The sequence below is a fragment of the Homo sapiens genome, chromosome 8 (genome assembly GCF_000001405.40).
Source record: "Homo sapiens chromosome 8, GRCh38.p14 Primary Assembly".
NCBI classification, from domain to species: Eukaryota; Metazoa; Chordata; class Mammalia; order Primates; family Hominidae; genus Homo; species Homo sapiens.
In genome coordinates, this window is record NC_000008.11 from 30,759,579 (window position 1) to 30,768,693 (window position 9,115).

The 9,115-nt window shown below is 43.5% G+C and overlaps 1 protein-coding gene across 4 annotated transcripts in view; it reads left to right on the plus strand.

The window, feature by feature from the left end:
* The window catches only part of UBXN8 (UBX domain protein 8), a 37,872-nt gene extending 30,444 nt beyond the window's left edge, over window positions 1–7,428 (plus strand). For all 4 annotated transcript variants that reach the window (XM_011544655.3, NM_005671.4, NM_001282199.2 and 1 more), the window contains 3 exons: window positions 1,310–1,351; window positions 3,695–3,769; window positions 6,649–7,428. In XM_011544655.3, the coding sequence (XP_011542957.1) occupies window positions 1,310–1,351; window positions 3,695–3,769; window positions 6,649–6,816 (285 nt within the window). In that variant the 3' untranslated portion in view covers window positions 6,817–7,428. The remainder of the gene's footprint in view (window positions 1–1,309; window positions 1,352–3,694; window positions 3,770–6,648) is intronic.

The following is a 9,115-nucleotide window of genomic DNA, read 5'->3' on the forward strand; positions in this document are numbered from 1 at the left end:
AGTAAATGACAAAAGCAACCAAAGTGAATGGTTTCTGGCAGTCACCTAGGAGTGTGAGTGACAAAAAGTTCATATTCATGTTAAAATGTGTATATGGGCCGGGTGTGGTGGCTCACGCCTGTAATCCCAGGACTTTGGGAGGCTGAGGCAGGCGGATCACAAGGTCAGGAAGTCGAGACCATCTTGGCTAACACGGGGAAACCCTATCTCTACTAAAAAATACAAAAAATTAGCGGGGCATGGTGGCAGGCGCCTGTAGTCCTAGCTACTTGGGAGGCTGAGACAGGAGAATGGCCTGAACCCAGGAGGCAGAGCTTGCAGTGAGCCAAGATCGCGCCACTGCACTCCAGCCTGGGCGACAGAGTGAGACTCCGTCTCAGAAAAATAAATAAATAAAATAAAATAAAATAAAATAAAATAAAATAAAATAAAATATGTATATGTTTGAAGCAAAATAATTTTGGGGTCTTACTGAATTTTCTTTTCTTTTTTTTTTTTTTTAAGATGGAGGCTTGCTCTGTCACCCAGGCCAGAATGCAGTGGCACAACCTCAGCTCACTGCAACCTCTGCTTCATGGGTTCCAAGCGATTTTCCTGCCTCAGCCTCCCGAGTAGCTGGGATTATGGGCACCCGCCATCATGCCTGATAATTTTTGTATTTTTGTAGAGACGGGGTTTCACCATGTGAGCCACGCTGATCATGAACTCTTGACCTCAAGTGATCCACCTGCCTCGGCCTCCCAGTGTGTCGGGATTACAGGCATGAGCCACTGCGCCCAGCTGATACATGTTAACATTTATCCTGTTTTTATATGTATGTATGTGTATATGCATACACAATCATATATATATATATATATATATATTTTTTTTTTTTTTTAAAGTGACAGGGTCTTGCTTTGTTGCAATGGTTGGCCTTGAACTTCTGAGCTCAAGTGATCTTCCTGCCTCAGCCTCCTGAGTTGCTGGGATTACGGACATGAGCCACTGCATCTGGCTTGCTTTTTTACATAGTGCATTTTTATATATTAGTAATATTTTGGAACATAATAGAAGCAAAATCCTTTAAGTATGTATAGATTGGGAGCTATTATCTCAAATCCTATTTTTATGATTAATTTTTAGCACACTTGCCCAAAAATGTTTATTAATTGAACTATTTTCATTATAAACTCTTTATAGATGTATGAAGAAAAGATATAAGTAAGCTTAGATGTGTGTCTAAACTCTGTATTGAGAGGAACTCTTCTCATTGACACTTTTGCTTGTTGAACATGTTTACATTCCTCTTACCAATACTTTTCTTTAGATTCCTGATTTACCTGAAGAACCTTCTCAAACAGCAGAAGAAGTAAGTCTATTTTTCTCTTCGAAAATTAAACTTATTTTCTATTTTCTTTGCTTAACATCCATTAAATATGTCTTATCTAAACTTGGGTTTAGAAAGAAGTGATAGCATAAGTGTTCATGTGATTATACTGTAACTAGGTCTTTTTTAGAACATAGAGACAGGGTCTCACTATGTTGCCTAGGCTGGCCTTGAACTCCTGGGCTCAAGTGATCCACCCGCCTCAGCCTCCTGGGTAGCTGGGTCTTACTTGGAATGTAGTGTAGTATCAAATTCCTCAACATGAGTACTATTTTGCAAGCCTGCTGTCTGCTGAGTTGTCTTTTTTTTTTTTTGAGATGAAGTCTTGCTCTTGTCACCCAGGCTAGAGTGCAATGGCATGATCTCAGCTCACTGCAGCGTCCGCCTCCTGAGTTCAAGTGATTCTCCTGCCTCAGCCTCCCAAGTAGCTGGGATTACAGGCATCTGCCACCACATCGGGCTAGTTTTTGTATTTTTAGTAGAGACGGGGTTTTACCATGTTGGCCAGGCTGGCCTGGAACTCCTGACCTCAAGTGATCTGCCTGTCTTGACCTCCCAAAGCGCTGGGATTACACCCACCCACTGCCTCAGGCATAGGACACGTGGGCTTTTCCAGAACTTTAGGTCAGAAAATGCGTTGCTTACTAAAACAGAATCAAAATAGGCATATGTCCGAGCACTTTGGGAGGCCAAGAGGGGAGGATTACTTCAGCTTAGGAATTCAAGACCAGCCTGGGCAACATAGTGAGACGCTGTCGCTACAAAAAGGAAAAAAAAAAGGAAAAAAAACTAGGCAAATGACTTCAAATTGCAGTTCTCCTTTTCAAAGGAGAAAATGAAGAGGGCGACTACTTTGTAGATGTTTTAATTTAGGGGTGGTTTGCTGTTGGGGGCTGGGCTGGGACTGATCCCCAACTGTGTCAAGCTGTCTTCTTCCCAGTTGCTGGGTCATAGTCCGTGATGCCTTCCTGTCACTGGCCACCCAACTTATAGACACTTCCTAATGTATGGGGAGCACATACGTGTCTTGAAAGCCATTAAGTCATTTGGGCAATAAATCCAGAAGGAGAACCTACTTCTTGGGGCTCGGCAACAGTTATACTCCTTGGAAACCTTTTTTTTTTTTTTTTTAAAGAGACAGGCTTTTGCTCTGTCTCATAGGCTGGAGTGTCTTGGCACGATCATAGCTGACTGCATCTTCAACCTCTCAGGCTCAAGTGATCCTCCTACCTTAGCGTCCCAAGTAACTAGGACTGCAGGCATGTGCCACCAGCCCTGACTAATTTTTAAATTAAAAAAAAATTTTTTTTGGTAAAGATTGGGTCTCAGTGTTTTGCTCAGGCTGGTCCGACTCCTGGTCTCAAGTGATCCTCTCACCTTGGCCTCCCCAAGTGGTGGGATTATAGGTGTGAGTCACTGTGCCTGATGGGAAAGTTTTTTGTTTTTGTTTTTGTTTTTGTTTTTGAGACTGAGTCTCACCGCATTGCTCAAGCTGGAGTGCAATGGCACAATCTCGGCTCTCTGAAACCTCTGCTTCCGGGTTCAAGCCATTCTCCTGCCTCAGCCTCCTGAGTAGCTAAGACCACAGGTGTACGCCACAATGCCTGGCTAATATTTGTATTTTTAGTAGAGATGGGGTTTCACCGTGTTGGCCAGGCTGGTCACGAACTCCTGACCTCAAGTGATCCGCCCACCTTGGCCCCCCAAAGTGCTGGGATTACAGGCCTGAGCCACCGCACCTGGCCTGATTGGAAATATTTTCTAACATAGCTTTCCTGAGAGGGAGGGGTGCTGCTCTAAAACCACCACTTATGCCTAATATGATACCCACATAACTCCCAGCACAGTTAATGATCATGTTAGTCATAAAGGGTTTCTTGACAGGTGAAAAATAAACACTAATGTGTTATCTTCTCATTTTATAATGTCTTTTTTTTTTTTAAACAGAGTCTTGCTGTGTCATCCAGGCTGGGTGCAGTGGCGTGATCACAGCTTACTGTTGCCTCAGATTCCCTGGGCTCAGGCTATTCTCCCACTTCAACCTCCCAAGTAGCTGGGACTAGAGGCGTGCACCCACATCTAGCTAATTTTTCTATTTTTTATGGCGGGGGGTGTCTCAAACTCCTGGCCTCAAGTGGTCTGCCTGTCTCAGCCTCCCAAAGTCCTGGGATTACAGGCGTGAGCCACCACCATGCCCTACCTATGTCTTTTAATAATTAGCAAAGCAGTATCTAAGTCCTTTTTAGCTGCTTAGCTGTTTTATGGAATGAAAGGAATTGCAAAGAGCAATGGATCGGAGTTCTTATGTGAATATTTCTTCCTTAGGTAGTTACTGTTGCTCTCCGATGTCCCAGTGGGAATGTCCTGAGGAGAAGGTTTTTGAAGTCCTACAGCTCACAGGTAAGTGAAGGAATTCACATTTTGAGAAATATCTTTGTTGAATATGGCAGTAGTTTATTCACATGCCGTGGGGGAAGGTGTGATCACACTGTCATCTGCATCTCCCATCAGGTATGGATAAAGGACATTTCCAGGTACTCCACGTTGCAGAAATTTGGCTAACTAGGCATGCCTGCCGGATGTCTCTGAATTGTGATCTCTGCATTCACATTTTACTCATTCTTTCCCTTTGGTGTATTTTTCCTTTGTTGTTTGCTTTCATTACATTATCATAATTTGATGGGCAAGATGCTTTTAAATCCTTAGGAAGTAGCCACTATTAACTTTAGACTTTTTTTTTTCTTTTAAAAACAATACTGTGGGCTGGGTGCAGTGGCTCATGTCTGTAATCCCAACACTTTGGGAGGCCAAGGCGGGCAGATCACTTGAGGTCAGGAGTTCGAGGCCAGCCTGGCCAACATGGTTAAACCCCATCTCTACTAAAAATAAGAAAATTAGCCGGGCATGGTGGCGGATGCCTGTAATCCCACCTACTCGGGAGGCTGAGGTGGGAGAATCACTTGAACCTGGGAGGCAGAGGTTGCAATGAGCCGAGATCATGCCACTGCACTCCAGCCTGGGTGACAGAGCAAGATCCTGTCTCAAAAATACTAAATAATAAAAACAATACTGTGGTTGTTAGTGATAATTTGGAAAACATGGAAAAGTAGAGCGAGAAAAAAATTTGATCTGTAGTCTCATGCCAAAACCAGTTACTAACATTTTGGTATATTTCCGTCTCTAAGTACATTTAAACATATAATTATGTGTGCATTAAAAATATATGTAAATAATTTTCTGTCCTGTTTGTTGTATTTAACCTTCAATGACAAGAATGCTATAAACCGTAATGGAAAATACTGGATTTGACTACATAAAAATTCCGGCCAGGTGCGGTGGCTCATGCCTGTGAGTAGCTGGGACCAGGCACACACCACCGTTCCTGGCTAATTTTTTATTTTTAGTAGAAATGGGGTTTTGCCATGTTGGCCAGGCTGGTCTCAAACTCCTGGGCTCAAGTGATCCACCCACCTTGGCCTACCCAAGTGTTGGGATTACAGGCGTGACCCACCACGACCAGCCCATTTTACTATTTATGTATGATAGTTATTTTTTATAAGGAACTTAAATCAAGGAAGAGATAAACATCTCAGTAGACTGGCAGGGAAAGAAACACATGAATATCATGATTTCCCGAAGAAGACTCAGTGATAGATAAATATATGAAAAAAATGTTTGGCCTCACATAGAATCAATGAAGTACAAATAAAATGAAACAGTATTTTCTACTTAACTAGACTGTCAAAGATTAAAAAGAAATAGTACCCAGATTTGGCAAATGCGTTGGGAAAACAGGGATTCTTAAAACTTTAATAGTTTTTTGGCCGGGTACCATGGCTCACGCCTGTAATCCCAGCACTTTGGGAGGCTGAGGCAAGCGGATCATGAGGTCAAGAGATCAAGACCATCCTGGCCAACATGGTGAAACCTTGTCTCTACTAAAAATACAAAAATTAGCCGGACGTGGTGGTGCGTGCCTGTAGTCCCAGCTACTCAGGAGGCTGAGGCAGGAGAATCGCTTGAACCCAGGAGGCAGAGGTTGCAGTGAGCCAAGATCGTGCCACTGCACTCCAGTCTGGGAGACAGCAAGACTCCATCACAAAAAACAAAACAAAACAAAACCTTTAATATTTTTTATTTTTTTAAAAATAGAACAGGTCTCACTATGCTGACCAGGCCAATCTTGAACTCCTGGGTTCAAATGATTCTCCTGCCTCATCCTTCCAAAGTGCTGGGATTACAGGTGTGAGCCACTGTGCCTGGCCATCATAACTTGTTAATGTGAATGTAAATAAGATCAGTGTTCCTGACAGATAATTTACCATTATTTTTATTTATTTTTGTAAGATTGGTTCTCACTCTGTCACCAAGGCTGAAGCACAGTGGTGCAATCACAGCTCACTGAAACCTCAACCTCCCCGGACTCAGGTGATCCTTGCACCTCACCTCCTGAGTATCTGGGATTACAGGCATGCACCACCAGGCCTGGCTAATTTTTGTATTTTTTGTAGAGACTGGGTTTCGCCATCTTACCCAGGCTGGTCTCAAATTTCTGTGCCATTATATGTTTCGGGAAAAAAAATTTTATATATATATATATGTGTGTGTGTATATATATAGTTTTGAGACCGAGTCTTGCTCTGTCACCCAGGCTGGAGTGCGGTGGTGGGATCTCGGCTCACTGCAACCTCCGCCTCCTGGGTTCAAATCATTCTCCCTCCTCAGCCTCCTGAGGGCCTGGGATTACAGGTGCCCGCCACCACGCCTGGCTAATTTTTGGCTGGGCGCAGTGGCTCACGGCCATAATCCCAGCACTTCGGGAGGCCCAGGCAGGCAGATCACTTGAGGTCAGAAGTTCAAGACCAGCCTGGCCAACATGGTGGAACCCCGTCTCTACTAAAAATACAAAAATTAGCTGGGCATGGTAGTGGGCGCCTGTATAATCCAAGCTACTCTGAAGGCTGAGGCAGGAGAATCGCTTAAACCCAGGTGGTGGAGGTTTCAGTGAGCCGAGATCATGCCATCGCACTCCAGCCTGGGTGACAGAGCGAGACTCCCATCTCAAAAAAAAAAAAAAAGAATATTCCTATCTCTGAACTCATGGCAAGCTATTTTCCTTTAAGTTCTAGAAAGTTTCTTTGAAAGGTATGAAACTTCTGTCTCATTACTCCTAGGGATATGATTTTACATTGACAAAATTATAAAATGTTATGGTGGTCTAAAGGGACATGGTGTGTAAAGTATTTGATAATGACTAAGCCAAGCTTTTCATCTTCTAGGTCTTATTTGACTGGATGACGAGAATTGGGTACCACATATCTCTATACAGCCTTTCTACTTCCTTTCCCAGACGGCCTCTGGCAGTGGAGGGAGGCCAGTCGCTGGAGGACATAGGAATAACTGTGGACACTGTACTCATCCTGGAGGAGAAGGAGCAGACCAACTAGGAAAGAAGGGAGAGCTCCCTGTTTGCATGAAGTCAGTTATGCTATGACCTTCTGGCACAATAAAGGCTTCACTTTCAAATCACACTATACCTTGATTGAGCTCATGGCAGTAAACTTTGAACATTGATATCCATGGGAATAGGATTAGAAAAGGATTGCTTTCTATATATAATAATCTGTGGACTGTGCCATTTTACAGTGTACCAAATGAGAATGAGGTTGAAATGTATGCAGTAAGGTACTCAGTAATTAATTGGTATTTTTTCCCAGCTGACATGATTTCTCAGTGTTAGAAAACAAACCCTTAGAACTTTCCTTTCTGCCTCTTCAATCCATCTTACCACACAATATTTCATGATTCAAATTCTTCAAAGTCTTATACGCAGGAATGTTTATTCTGCTGTATTTCTGTGAAATTAAAAACTTGGAAGAAGCTTCAAAGCTCTTGGAGGCTTTAAAGTTCTTTCTGTTGGGTGTGCATTACAGTTTACTTAACTGATGTTTGCGATTTATATAATTTTGCCTTGTATTAAATGTTACAAAGTTCCAAATGAATCAGTATTTTAAAAAATAAAACTATGAAAGCATTAAAATATAGGTGAATTTTTAAAACTGTATCTATCTCATCATTTCCCTCTCTTGCTTATAAGCCTATAATGATAAAGTCATGCACTGTAACACCAAGTTCAGACACCAAATGTGGTATAAAAGGCTTTTAACTTTGTTCTACTCACTCCTTTTTTTTCTCATGCTCTGTTTTAAAAGTCTGCTCAGGCCGGGTGTGGTGGCTCACGCCTGTAATCCCAGCACTTTGAGAGGCCGAGGCGGGCAGATCTTGAGGTGAAGAGATTGAGACCAGGCAGGGCACAGTGGCTCACGCCCATTATCCCAGCACTTTGGGAGGCCAAGGCGGGTGGGCCATGAGGTCAGGAGTTCAACACCAGCCTGGCCAAGATGGTGAAATCCCATCTCTACTAAAAATACAAAAATTAGCCAGGTTGAGTAGCAGGTGCCTGTAATTCCCAACTACTTGGGAGACTGAGGCAGGAGAATCGCTTGAACTCGGCCAGCAGAGGTTTCAGTGAGCTTAGATCATGCCACTGCACTCCAGATGGCGACAGAGTGAGACTGTGTCTCAAAAAAAAGAAAAAAAAAAAGAGTTCAAGACCACCCTGACCAACATGGTGAAACCCCATCTCTACTAAAAATACAAAAATTGGCTGGGCGCAGTGGCTCACGCCTGTAATCCCAGCACTTTTGGGAGGCCAAGGCGGGCAGATCACGAGGTCAGGAAATTGAGACCATCCTGGCTAACACAGTGAAACCCCGTCTCTACTAAAAATACAAAAAATTAGCTGGGCATGGTGGCGGGCACCTGTAGTCCCAGCTACTCATGAGGCTGAGGCAGGAGAATGGCGTGAACCCGGGAGGCGGAGCTTGCAGTGAGCCGAGATCGCGCCACTGCACTCCAGCCTGGGCGACAGAGCAAGACTCTGTCTCAGAAAAAAAAAGAAAATACAAAAATTAGCTTGGAGTGGCAGCGTGCGCCTGTAATCCCAGCTACTCGGGATGCTGAGGCAGGAGAATCGCTTAAACCCAGGAGGCAGAGATTGCATTGAGCCTAGATCACGCCACTGCACTCCAGCCTGGCGACAGAGCGAGACTCATCTCAAAAAAAAAAAAAAAAAAAAAAAAAAGGTCTGCTCATCTGGCTCTCCTGGGCATTCCCTTTATACCCTTCTGTAGAATTCATCACACTGTATTATAGCTATGTCTTGTTTTCTCAATAGGCAATTCCTCAAAGGCAGGGACTGTCTTTTTTGCCCCCAGAAGTACCTACTGTATGTTAGATACTTAATACTTCTTTGAAAATAAACAGTAAGTTGTCTCAACCTTAAATTAGGGGTGGGAGGGCAGGTTGGTTCTAGAATATCTCACACCAAAAAAAATGAGGCCAAGCGTGGTGCTTATGCCTGTAACCCCAGCACTTTGGGAGGGCAAGATGGGCAGATTGCTTGAGCCTAGGAGTTCAAGACCAGCCTGGGCAACATGGTGAAACCGTGTCTCTACAAAGAATACAAAATACAAAAATTATAGAATACAAAAATTAGCCAGGCATGGTGGCACATGCCTGTAGTCCCAGCTACTAGGGAGGCTAAGGTGGGAGGATCACTTGAGTCTCAAAAAAAAAAAAAAAAGTGGTAGTACATCACTTCTGAGATTAGGTTATAATAGACCATGGCTGTCCTGGTGGTCTCTCTTGGGTCCCTCGCTCTAGGGGAAGAAGTCCTGTTAGTGG